The sequence below is a fragment of the Homo sapiens genome, chromosome 7 (assembly GCF_000001405.40).
Source record: "Homo sapiens chromosome 7, GRCh38.p14 Primary Assembly".
Taxonomy (NCBI): Eukaryota; Metazoa; Chordata; class Mammalia; order Primates; family Hominidae; genus Homo; species Homo sapiens.
Genome location: NC_000007.14, coordinates 16,752,662 through 16,766,168, shown reverse-complemented (window position 1 = coordinate 16,766,168; position 13,507 = coordinate 16,752,662). Strand labels below are relative to the sequence as shown.

At 41.4% G+C, this 13,507-nt stretch overlaps 1 protein-coding gene across 1 annotated transcript in view, besides 1 other annotated feature; it reads right to left on the bottom strand.

Annotated features, from left to right (window-relative positions):
- TSPAN13 (tetraspanin 13) overlaps positions 1-12,414 on the bottom strand; it is a 30,782-nt gene extending 18,368 nt beyond the window's left edge. The window contains exon 1 of the mRNA NM_014399.4: positions 12,139-12,414. Coding sequence (NP_055214.1) covers positions 12,139-12,201 — 63 coding nt within the window. The 5' untranslated portion in view covers positions 12,202-12,414. The remainder of the gene's footprint in view (positions 1-12,138) is intronic.
- Positions 9,531-9,825: a silencer, noted in NCBI's record as "tiled region #12164; HepG2 Repressive non-DNase unmatched - State 24:Quies". NCBI's record gives its function as "represses a minimal TATA promoter and a strong SV40 promoter by Sharpr-MPRA in HepG2 cells {active_cell/tissue: HepG2}" and the evidence as "EXISTENCE:reporter gene assay evidence [ECO:0000049][PMID:27701403]".
- Positions 12,415-13,507: the final 1,093 nt, after the last annotated feature.

The window sequence follows — 13,507 nt, the reverse complement described above, 5'->3', positions numbered from 1 at the left end:
TTATTTTAAAAATCCCCCAAATACCCAAGTTAACTTTTAAAATTATAACACCTAAAGACTTATAATATGCCTCTAATGAGATCTGATTATCAGTGTATCCTTAACTTTACTAAAAAGGAGACTTTTAAAGATAATAGTAAAACAATTTATTTCTCAGTAGTGATAATTATGTGTTATGGCTGGTTTGTAATTGTGAAGAGAACAAGATTATATGAGGTCTTCCAAACCAGTGATCTAAAAATTGTTGATTCAAACAGTTAACTCTAACAGCATAATTAAAAAGCCTAGGTTTGTCACTAGAACTTGCTAGACAAAGGAACTCCAAAGAATCTTTTGTTCTATTATAATAACAGTTTCCTTATGAAATCAACTGGAATAGAAAGTAAATGTACACCTATGACAGTTTCCTTCCCTTTGGGAGACAATGCTGATAAAAAGGAATTATGTGTCTGTTAATTCATTGCTGGTAATGTTTTTATAAGCAGTAAGCACCAACCTTTCCTGTTTTCTCCTTAAGACAAAGAAAGGTGAATCATATAAAAAGAGTTTTAAAAAGAGAACTAAAGGAGCTGTAATGGAAAAGGTACACCAAAGCAAGACCATAAAACTGGTCATAAAAAGTGTCTAAAACTGGCATTTCTCCCCCGAGTAAACGCCAAGAGAAAGTGGCAATGGCAAAACTGCAAGTGTACACATGAGTAGAGTCTACTGAAGGGGGAATAAACAGGAAGGTGCTACTGCAAGGAACATAGAAATTCTCAGCCAGGCCAGGCGCAGTGGCTCATGCCTGTAATCCTAGCACTTTGGGATGCCGAGGAAGGAGGATTGCTTGAACCCAGGTAGCTCGAAACCAGCCTGGGCAACATGGGGAGACCTTGTCTCTACCAAAAAAATAAAAAAAATTAGCCAGGTGCAGTGGCAACCAGCTGTGGTCCCAGCTACTTGGGAGACTGACTCAGGATAGCTTCAGCCCAGGAGGTCAAGGTTGCAGGGAGCTGTGTTCATGCCACTGCACTCCAGCCTGGGCAACAGAGCAAGACCCTGTCTCAAAAAGAAAGAAAGAAATTCTTAGCCAGGGCTCACAGCACAAACACAGAACGCTACAGCACAGGTGGGGCATAGTGGTTCACATCTATAATCCTAGCACTTTGGGAGGCCGAGGCAGGATCACTTGAGCCCAGGAGTTTGGAGACCAGCCTGAGCAACATAGCAAGACCTTGTCTCAAAAAAAAAACAAAAACAAAAACAAAACAGAGACAGAGAGAGAACACCATGGCACTAAACTACCTGGCCAGGGATCCTAATCTGTTCCTTTCATTTTATAGGTGAGGAGTAATGTGACTTTTTTTTCTCCCTATAGAACTGCATCATAGTGCCTAGGAAAATAATTAAGAAATTTTTAACACTGAGATGTAATATTAAAGACACTATTACAATGCATAAGAAATTGTAGTTCTTGCTTTATAGGCATATCAACAGGTATGTGAATAGCATCTCTTTAATTTACTTCCTAGGAGACTTGGTCACACAGTGATGTGTTAATAAGGACTCCACTCATATGACCTTTCCATTAGTTAACTACCAAATGTTAAGCTTATTCATTTTGTGCTTGTTTACTTTTATCTAATTCAGAAATTTTGTCACATACACGTACATTCACATACAAGCAGAAGAGCACACTGTGTGTTGCCTAGAGTAGGGGAACAAGAAATTCTACTTGGAATTAGAAACTTAATATATTTGAGATCACTCTAGCAAACAGAATTGTTTTAACATTAAGCACCATGTGTTTATGTGTCTTTCAGATTGATACATACAATAATGGTATTAAAGAACAAAGAGAGCCAGGCGCGGTGGCTCACACCTTTAACCCCAGCACTTTGGGAGGCCAAGGCGGGCAGATCACGAGGTCAGGAGTTTGAGACCAGCCTGGCCAGCATGGTGAAACCCCATCTCTACTAAAAATACAAAAAAAAAAAAAAAATTAGCTGGGCATGGTGGCATGTGCCTGTAATCCCAGCTACTCAGAAGACTGAGGCAGGAGAATCGCTTGAACCCGACAGGCAGAGGTTGCGGTGAGTCAAGACTGCGCCACTGTACTCCAGCCTGGCAACAGAGCGAGACTCCATCTCAAATAAAAATAAAAATAAAGAACAAAGAAAGATATATGCATAATGTTCTTTATAATCTAGCATAAGCGGGTGTTGAAATATTAAACCACTACACTAAGACTTGCAGATGATGAAGAAATTGCTAGGATATGCTAGAATTAAGAACAGAAGAACTGGGGAAGTTGCTGCCCAGAATAAGAATGACCTCTGTCTTAGACACATGTTGTTTTTGCAACCTAACACATATACTTCCAGTACGACCCTTAATGACTGGCCCCTCTGACCATCAGCAGCAGCAGACACACAAAATTCTGGCCCACCAATCATGGCTGCCCATCCTTCTATCAACAGTGATTGATCCAAGGGATAGGTCCATAAGCCAACAGGGTCAATAAGCGTGTCCTGCAAGATCGATAAAGGAATATTGAAAGCAGAAAACAACAGGTTCATCTGACCTAGCAAGGTATAAGGACAACATTGATTCTGCCAGTAGCCATCATGGACAGGGAAAGATCTAGCCCGTAAAAGAAACTGAGCAGAGGCAAGCTAAGCTGAAAAGCGGATGAAAGGGGCGAGCGACTTCGAGCCCCTTGATCCAGCAAAACCTTATGACCCAACTACTGGATGTCCCACTTATATGAGCCAACACATTGCTTCAAGAACATCTATAACCCATGAAGTATCCTGATTCACACAAGCTTCACCTTGTGTTGATCATAAACTTTCAATACCTGCAAAATTGCACTGATCCTATTTACCTTCACCATGGTGATCGCCTTCCCTACCAACACCAAATCTAAATTCTCGCCTTGTCAATAAACTTTTAAAAACATGAGCACTCCTTTTAGCTGAAAAGACGTCCCTAAAGCTTCTTACCCTGCCGTCAAAAGAAGGTAATCAATGAGCCAGAGGAATGTCCCATCTTTTTTCTACAAACATCCTCCTTAGCGTTACTAAATTTAACACCAATGTAAGTTTTACCGCTGAGCAGGTCCATGGTTGCCTGCAGACTAGGTGGGGGGTTTAAGGGTGGGAAAGAGGGATTTCAAAGAAGGATGAGGAGATTTTCAGGGGTCTTGAATGTGGTCATGGGTTCACAGGTGTACACATATGCCCAAACTTATAAAATGTTATACTTTAAGTATATTCACCTTACTGTGTCGATAATATTTCAATAGATCTGTTTCCCCCCAAAAGACAAGGCTTTACAAGGAAAGACATTTTAGACCATCTTCTGCCTGGCCTGGAACAATTCATGGTACCTAGAGTTTTATATGTAATTTGGTGGCATGCCAAGGATAGTTGGGCAGGAAAGCAGATGGAGACTGGGCCCATGACAATATGCTTGAATTATGCACATGCCCTGGGTTACCTGGGTCTTGACTTCTTTTTCCGTGAAAATAATAAAACTTACCATTTTAAGCAGTGATAGCTGGGTTTCTATTACTTCCGGCTAAACTCTATTCCTAACATTGTGGTCTTGGTTTTAAAGCCAATCAGATCAGGTCATTTCTATGCTGGCTGTCCTTTGTTTCTGATCTCGAGAAAAAGTCCATACTCCCAGGCTGACAAATCCCAAGATGGGAAGGGCCTGGATTATCGCCCGAGGTTATTCATTAGCCACCATTCCTCCTCCCAGCCATACTTGGAATTCTGATGGGCCTTCTACACTTTAAGCACCAGACAATCAAGGCCCATGTTATCTTACATTCCTAGCACCTGGCTAAGAGTGTGAAGCATTAAGAGGTGCTCAAAACACACTGCTGAATCAAAGAGCACATGATATTGCTCATTACCCTTTCAGGACAAGGAAACGCTAATTCTCCAATCTATACAATATTTGGAGGGGAAGAAAGTCAGCCTAATGATGTTCCATATTATTCTCTGTCTACATAACCTTCAATCTTTCATCAAATATCCACCACATTTCAAGAACAAGATGAAAAGACAGATTTTAATATTGTGAAAACAACTACCTTTTTTTTTAGTACCAAAATTCTTCCAAGGTAAGTGAATTGCTTTGAGGATGAAAGAATTTAAAACATTTCAAAAAGACAGATTAGATGTTGTAAATTATTCAAAAATGTTTTGTTAGCACTAACGCAACAGAGAAGTTATGATGGTAGTGGAAGGCAAGCAAATTTAAAACAGTAGTAAGATACAGAAGGACTATACCAACAAAATGTAATACAGCATCCACAGACATGTAAAGAAAATAAAGGTAGGCAGGTTCAGTGGCTCTCATCTGTAATCTCAGTACTCTGGGAAGCCAATGCAAGAGGAATGCTTGAAGCCAAGAGTTCAAGACCAACCTGGGCAACACAGCAAGACCCCTGTCTCTACAAAAAAAAAAAAAAAAAAAAAAAATTAATTAGCTGGGTAGGGTGGAGTATGCTTGTAGTTCTAGCTACTCAGAAGGAGAGAAGGTGAGAGGATCGCTTGGGCCCAGGGGTTCAAGGCTGCAGTAAGCTATCATCACACACTGCACTCCAGCCTTAGTGACAGAGTGAGACCCTGCCCCTAAAAAAAAGAAAACAAAGCCCCAGACTATCTTCCTCAATATGCCTCAACATTCATAATGAGGAATTACACGTGAACACTGAACTCTCTTCTGAACTTCTGCTTAATGTGGAAAACTGAAGAGCAATTCAGAAAAGATCAAGCACATGTTTCTACGATGCCAAACAGCTGGATGGAAATATGAAAACTCTATAAATAATCTACATTTTGCTAAATAGCCAGACATTGAGTGTTGAAGCTAAAACCTCAGTTCTTTTATTGCTTTATGATCATTCTTCAAATGACACAGAAGGCCTGAAGTGCTCTTGCGAATATTTTTCTTCATTATGGCTCTCCGTGATGCCACTGCTTTTATACTTACTAGGCAAAAAAATACAAAGTATATGGAAATTATATAAAGGTGATTGAAAGTAAGGGACCTCCACTTGTCATTTTCCAAGGGTAACCAGTTTGAGGTGACATCCACAGCTGCCAACAAAGTTCCAACCCCACTCTACCACTTCCTTCTTTGGAGCATTTCTGGGAGACAAGAAATGAAGTATGGGCAGAAGAACCCTGTACTGATTCCTGCATTCAATTAACTAAATGCCAACCACATGCCAGGGCTGTGCCGGGCACACAGGAAAGCCAGAATGACTGCGACATTGCCTTTATTGTTCAGAGGATTATAAGAAAAATAAAAGGGTAACTGCTCTTTTCAACGACTTCTTCACTGACAAATTCGAGAACCAACTCTCGGTCCCCATCTCCTTGAAATGGTTTGCACTTGACTTCTGAGACACCAACCTCTCTGCAATTTTCCTCCTACCTGACTGGCCATTCCTTTTCAGGCTCCCTTGCTGAATGTTCCTCATCTCCTGAATCTCTTAATGTTTGAAATGCACTACTTCAATCCATGGACCACTGCCCTTCTCCATCTACCCTCACTAACTTGTTGGCAAGTCCTCTCCCCTGAATAACAGTGTGGTTACTGTAAGTGCTACCTGACATTTCCACTTGGGTTTCTTTAGCATCACGTCCAATACTGAATCCTCTCATTCATCCCAAAGTCTGCTCCACCTGCCATCTTCTCCATCCTAGTTAACGGCAAATCTATCCTGCCAATTCCTTGAGCCTGAGCCACAAATCATAGTAATCTGTGACTTGTCCCTTTCAGTAAATCAGGTCGCCCTACCTCCAAAACACTCTCAGAATCTATTTCTTTTAATTCTGTTGCCACCATACTAATCCAAGCCTCCATCATCTCATGTGCAAATTATAGCAATAGCCTTGTAACTAGTCTCAATGCTCCCACCTGTGCCATCTATAATATATTCTTAACTCAAAAGCCATATAGCCTTTTACATAAAAATCAGACTATATCAGTCCTCAAACCTAAACACACCATTGGCTCCCCATTTCACTTGGTATAAAAGCTCATGGCCCTATAGTGCTCTCCTGGGTCCACCCCTGACTTCTCTGACCTCATTTCCTGCATTGTACTGCTTGCTTGCTCTGTCCCACTCATATTTGACTCATCTGTCCCTTGCATAAACCAGCAATACTCCTCCTGGCCAGGCACAGTTGCTCACACCTGTAATCCAAGCAATTTGGGAGGCCAAGGTGGGAGGACTGCTTGAGGCCAGGTATTCAAGGCTAGCCCAGACAACACAGACCCCGTCTCTACAAAATATTTTTTAAAATTAGCTGGGTATGGTGGTACATGCCTGTAGTCCCAGCTACTAGGTAGGCTGATGTGGGAGGATCACTTGAGCCCAGGAGACAGCTCTCTGGCAGTGAGCTGAGATCACGCCACTGCGTGACAGAGCAATACCCTATATCAAAAAAAAAAAAAAAAAGAAAGAAAGAAAAGAAAAAAAAGCAGAAATACTCTTTCATCAGGGTCTTTTCAAAGACGATTCCCTCTACCTGAAACACTTTTCTTAGATAACTGTTCTTCATCTCCTTTAGGCCTTTTGATACAGTTTGGATATTTGCCTCCTCCAAATCTCATGTTGAAATGTAATCCCCAATGTTGGAGGTGGGGCCTGGAGGGAGGTGATTCGTAGGGGTGGATCCCCCATGAATGGTTTGGCACCATCCCCTCAGTGATAAGTGAGTTCTCCCTCTGAGTTCACGTGAGATCTGGTTGTTTAAAAGCGTTTGGCACCTCCCCCTCACTCTCCCCATGTGACACAGGGACTTCCTTTCCCCTTCTGCCATGATTGTAAGCTTCCTGGGGCCCTCACCAGAAGTAGATGCCAGCACTATGCTTCCTGCAGAACCATGAGCCAATTAAACCTCTTTTCTTTATCCAGTCTCAGGTATTTCTTTATAGCAATGCAAGAACAGTCTAACACCTTTCGTACACTGTTTTCTTTCCATGCAGGCCAAGCATGACCACCATATGTGAAGCTGTGTACCCATCCTCCCACATCCGCTCCACTGCCCCACCTATCTTTCCTTTTACTCCGCTTTATTTTTCTCCATAAAACTTGTTTACCTTCTAATACGATATATAATTTACTTACTTATTTATCATCTGTCCACCCCCATAAATATAAACTCCATGAAGGCAAGCCATTGGGATTTTGTTCACTGCTATTGATGCTCAATTAATATTCATTATTAGAATAAAAAACAGAAAATAACTTGGGCACATCTCAAACTTACATTAGACTCACAAATAACCCCAAACAGTTACAATTATAATACAATTTTACAGGAAGTAGATTCATTCAAGAGAAACGGTAGAGGAAACCCACAGACACGTTTGAAAGGTTGGCCAATTATGTAAAAAAAAAAAAGGGTATTACAAGAAATATTCGATTCTACAGTGGATAAATAAAAGTAATTCCTACTTAATATTACTACTTTTTAACCTAATGCCAACTTTCATGCTTTAAAATATTTAGCTGTGCTTCTGCACTTAACCTTGATCATTGCAGACTAAAAGTAACAAAATATTGTTTTATACGAGTTTTCTTTATGCAAGTTTTACCTGTGAAGAATAGCTGGAAAGAAGAAGCCAAGTCTATAAATTCAGCAAAATTCAACTTTTTCCACCTGAAGCTGTAACAACTTAATTTTATTTCTATTATACATCTAAAGCATTTATATACTATCTGATTTTATCCTTACACAGCTTCATGAGGGGACGACTGAAAAATATCATCACCAATTTATATATGAAGAAACTGAAACTCAAAGTAAGCTGTTTGTCTAGTAACAGAGTTGGAAAAGTTTCAGTTTTCTTCATAAATCCAGTGATCTTTCTTCCCATAATTTGTATGGACATATGTTTTTTATCTAACAGATTAAAAACAGAATTTTCTTCCCATAAATTGTATGGTCGTATTTTTTTATCTAACAGATATGGCACACTTTATCTACTATAAAATGCATCCCAGGCCGGGAGCATTTTATAGTAGATAAAGTGCTCATGCTTGTAATCCCAGCACTTTGGGAGACCGAGGCGGGTGGATCGCCTGAGGTCAGGAGTTCAAGACCAGCCTGGCCAACACGGCGAAACCCCGTCTCTACTAAAAATACAAAAAATAAGCTGGACATGGTGGCGGGCACCTGTAATCCCAACTACTCAGGAGGCTGAGGCAGGAGAATCGCTTGAACCCAGGAGGCGGAGGTTGCAGTGAGCCAAGATCGCGCCATTGCACTCCAGCCTGGGCAACGAGAGTGAAACTCCATCTCAAAAATACAAATAGAAACAATAAAATGCATCCCAACTTCAGAGGTGATAAAAATATAAATTAAGGTGTTTATGAAGTAATTCAGTATAATTTTTATGCTGCATGAGAATTTTTCTCAAAACAACCAAAAGTATAAGGAAAAAGAATCACGAAAAAGAGAAAGAAACAAACATGGAAAGATGTTATAAGAATGAACACACACAGGAGAAACAAAACTGCAACTTCTGAAATTTCCCTCCTGATTTTAAAACTGGCAGGGCAACTCTTAAAAAGTCCCAGTAAATATATGTTTGGTCATATTTTTCAGTTTGGTTCTATTTAACAAAGTCAGCTACCTTTTTTTTGGTTGTTTGTTTTTAATAGAGCTTTCTTCTCTGGTTAAGAAGCACAAGGAGACACATTATAAAGCTTCAAAATATTACGTATTTTAATACAAATTTTATTTCATATTTTCTAAAATTTCCCACAAATCACTAAGCATAATTTTCAAAAGTTTTTTTCACTACTTGTCAAAATCTTTTCAGCCTAAAATATTCCTATAAACTATTAAAAATAAGTCATTTTCCCAAATCATTTTCATTTTTATGTATATCCTAAATGGTATCAAAAAGACCCACACACTATTTCTACATTTCCTTGATTCAATCACACCTCCTTTATTCCCCCAACTTCTCTAACCCACAAATATCTGCCACAGTCCTAAATTTTATGGTACCTAAAGTCAGTATATTCCTTATACGCCATTTAATTTTCCCATTCCATGTCTCTCATCTAGATCCTGTCTTCACAATGCATTTGCCTTTATAGGTATTTATTATTTCCCACAGTTCTCAAAAGAGTGCACACAGTAGACAAAAGTTTATTGACTGAATACAATTCCTGAAAACATATGTATAAAAGGTAGTAAATAAAAAAGAGCCTTCATAAAAGCACATTGATTTTTACGCCCTGTTTGGTTTGCTGCTGTATTTCCAAACTGAGAACAGAGCCTGGCACACAGTAGGCACTCAATAATTGTTGAATGAAGAAACTGAAAGTTTCTTTAAATGCAGGAAGCTCTGAGGCAAGTCATTCTCTTAGAATACTGTGAAGGTGAATTCAGGAATGTAGCTTCCCCCTTTTCTTCTATATTTACAAACTGTTAACACATACTACACTAATTTAAGCTTGTCCAGTACTGGCGATCCTATTAACTAAAATAATCAAGCCATAAACAACAAGAAAAATCAACTGTTAACATTTTGCCTAGTGATCAAATTTCCTTGTTTGGGACTTCCAACTTGTTTTTAGTGACATGCTTTCTGAGCTGATCATGAATGTGGCACGAATCTCAGGCTCATCAGCAAGCCACCAGAGCATGTGGACAGTTCAGCTGATACAGTCCTAAGTTCCTCAGTAAAATGCTTCAACACAGCAATGATGATGTTTCAGGCATCTGCCGTTCCCATATGCAATCCTGGTTTAACCAACACTTTTAGAAATGACCTCAAATGTAATCCTGTAGCGTTGAGCACATTTTAGAGGCAGTGACCAGGGTGGGATTAGAACCTACAAAGAATGTTTCTATTCATGACTTATAGAGAAATGTCTCCCAAGTCTTCATGCTCAATCCCATCCCCAACTGCCTCACATTTTTTTCATCTTAAAATGTTGAGAAAGAGATCAGGGGAGAAATAGAAGCTAAATAATGGCCATGGCACATTTTCAGCATCTATCTAAGACTTGATCCAACTTTTACCTGTCACTTGCCTCCACTTTAAACTGCTGCAGTTATTTAAGCCTATTTACAATGTAAAAGAAGCAAGCAGCCACTAATTCATTTTAAGAAATGTCCCTTTGTCTAAAAAGTCTATGATTTAAAAGGGCTAGCCATTTTTATTGTCCCGTGAATTTCCAATTCATTAAGTTTTACTGCATAGCTATTAAAATCAATAGAACACACACTTTGAAGGTCAATAATTTAGAATAGATATTAAATAGTCTTAATATGTCCCTTTAGAATCACCTTTCTTTCGCCTCACTTTCCTGATATACTCTAAATACAACTAAAAATGATGTCTAGAAAGCAAGGAACTTCATTTTAAAATAACTTGCCTTTTTAAAAAAGATTATACATTGATATAGACCCTTCAGTGAAGTAAGTATGCAAAGTAGACATTCCACTCTGTGTAAGCAGGCACTGTAAGACTAAGTGTCTGGCAAACAGATGACTAAATCATTGGCAGAAAAAAAACAGAACTCAGGTCACAAAATAAGGAATTTAAAGTTCCAAGCAGGCCACTCACACTGATTTAAAAAAAAAAAAAAAAACCCTAGAGAACTGGTCAGCATTTACTTAATAAACAGCCAGGGTGATAAGCATACCTCAGGGTGATACAGATGAATTTTGATCTGAAACTTGACATGTATCTCCAAGGAACTGTATCACCAGGTGTTCTAAAATTTTTTTCCCAAGTCTACTATTAATGACCATGTTGACCAGATTCTTACTAACTAGCCATAAAAGCGTACTCAATGCCTGTTTCTGTCTTGCCTTCAAAGCTTGCAGTCATGTTCACATACAAAGGAACAGTAAAGGTAAAATGACCCAACCTCCTTCTCCTGTTGGTGACCACAAGGCAGCCTCTCTATTCCAAGGAGGTAATCTAAGCTTGCACAGATGGCCTAGCTCTCTGCTAATGCAGGGGTGCTGGGTTTGTTTTCAGGGTGGGTGCTGCAAAGCGCCAGGTATATTTATAGAAGGGAGCAAGACTACTATGGAGGGATGATGACAGAAGAGGAAGTTTCTTCCGCCCGGTAGAGACAGCCTGTGGAAAGATCTGGATTCCACAGCCTAGGTTCCACTCCTGACTCGTCAACTACCAGCTATGTAAACTTACTAAAACCTTTTTGGTCTGTTACCTTATGTATAAAATGCAGATAATGCCCCATTCCCTCAGAAGGTTGTCAGAATGATGAACGAGCATTGTGTATGTAAAACCTGGGACGTGATAGGCATTCAATAAATGTCGATCTGTCCTGCCCATCCTCCTGTTCACCCAGAATTGCGCCTCAAAAAATCACAAAGAGAGCCTGCAGCGTTAAAACTAAGAGGCCCAAGCTGGTTGGCAGGGAAAGAAACGACTTGGGTGGGGGCTCGCTTATTTCCTGGAGGACTTGGTTTAAAATGGAGTTAGGATATTGATCATGGACAAGACACACAGAAAAAGCACCAAGTACTAGCAAAACTGACAACAACAAAAACAAAAAGACATCCCTTTACTGTGAGCACGAAACAAACTTCGGAAGCAGCGGACATCCTGTGAACCTACTCAGTGGCCTCAATTAAAATCCCGAGGGTACCAAGAGCTAACCCAGAGGCACACCAGCCATATGCCGCCTCGTCAGTTTCAGGCCACGCCATTCCGCAAAACTGTCCGCAAGCCCTGACGGCTCTCGCGCCTCCACGCCTGGCCCAGATGCGTCTGGATGTCAGGAGCGAGCGGCAGAAGGGTACGGGGTGGGAAAGCGGAGAGGTCCGGTTGAATGTTTGAAAAACAAGGCGGTGGGTGAGGGGGCGGGGTGGAGCAATGTGGCAGAGACGCGGCCAGCGAGCCTGAGAGACCGCGGCTTCACAATGAACGAAAGGAAGAGACTGCGACAAGCGCCGGCGCCCGGTCCCCGGCGGGGACGGATGGTGAGGCCGGGGGCGCGCAGACGTGGGAAGCCGGGAAGGGGGCGCGGGATGCAACGAGTGAGTCGCTGACCAGGCAGGGAAGCCAAAGAGCTCCCAAGCAGGTGCAAAGCCCCCAAGCGAGCAGGAACGGACTGGGGATACTCACGGTGTAAAGCAGGTTGAGGGCGCACAGGCAGTTCTTGGAACACGCGAAGCCCCCGCAAACCATCTTGGAACCTGTGGTTGCCGGCAGCTGCACGTAAATTCGACTCCGGCGGAGGTTCCCTGACAGCTGCTTTGTCCTTGCCTTTGGGGCCTGGCCCAGGCGGGGCAGCAACGCAGACGTGGGTGGGGGGCCGGGGCCTGGGGCTGCAGTGCGCGGCGCGCGCGCGGCGGCGGCTCGGACCCGCTTTGGAACCTGCGGCCGCCGCAGCTGAGCCGGAGCAGGAGCCCGAGCCCCGCCCAGCCCCTTCGTCTCGCCCCGCGCGCTGATTGGCCGCTGGCAGGGAACAAAGGTAGAAATATGCAAATAAATGCGCTCCGCCGACCGGGATCCGGGAGGGGCGGAGCGGTCCCGGGGCGAGGGGGAGAGGGCCAAGGCCGTGTGGGAGGGAGCCCCAGGCCAGAGCGGCGGCCTTGGTGTAGTTTCCCCAGGAGCAGGTGAGGAGGGAGGGCGGGGCTCGGAGGAGATCCACGCTGGCAAGGAGAAATATGACAGCACCTCTGGATTCTTGGCCCTGGCAGATGACGTGGCACCATTTTGAATGAGATTTCAAAACTAAGCACCTGGCCTTGTTTGAGGGAAGGAAGGCAGGAAGCAAGTAATGAATGAAAACATGTGAAAGATTTAAAAGAGAACGAAGTAGAGGCAAATGAAAGGGAGAAAATAAGTGAAACAATAAAAAATAAAATAAAATCCCTGCTTCTCTCAGAAAATAAGATATGTGCCCTATAATTGTGACCTGGACAGGTCAGACTTATCCTACAAAGATTTGCAAAATACTAATAAACTTTATGAATACATGCATGCAAAGGAAAATCAAGAGCGGGAGAAGGTGGGGATGGTTAATAGGTCCAAAAAAATAGAAAGAATGAATAAGACCTACTATTTGATAGCACAATAAAGTGACAATCGTTAATAAGAACTTAATTGTGTATTTTAAAATAACTTAAAGAATGTAATTGGATTGTTTGTAACTCAAAGGATAAATGTTTCAGAGGATGGATACCCTATTCTCCGTGATGTGCTTATTTCACATTGCATGCCTGTATCAAAACATCTCATGTACCCCGTAAATATATACATCTGCTACGTGTCAACAAAAGTTTTTTAAAAAATTTTAAAAAGAAAATCAAGAGAGATTATTTTTGTGTTCTGGTCGTGAATTTCAATAAACTTATTTTTTCACAAAAATAACTGAAAATCTTCAAATAACTCAGACTTCACCTCAATTAATTCATTATCAGTTTACTGCTTCTCTACTATAGAAATGCATCTTGTATCCTTAATTCCTCACCTATAAATTGAGATTTTA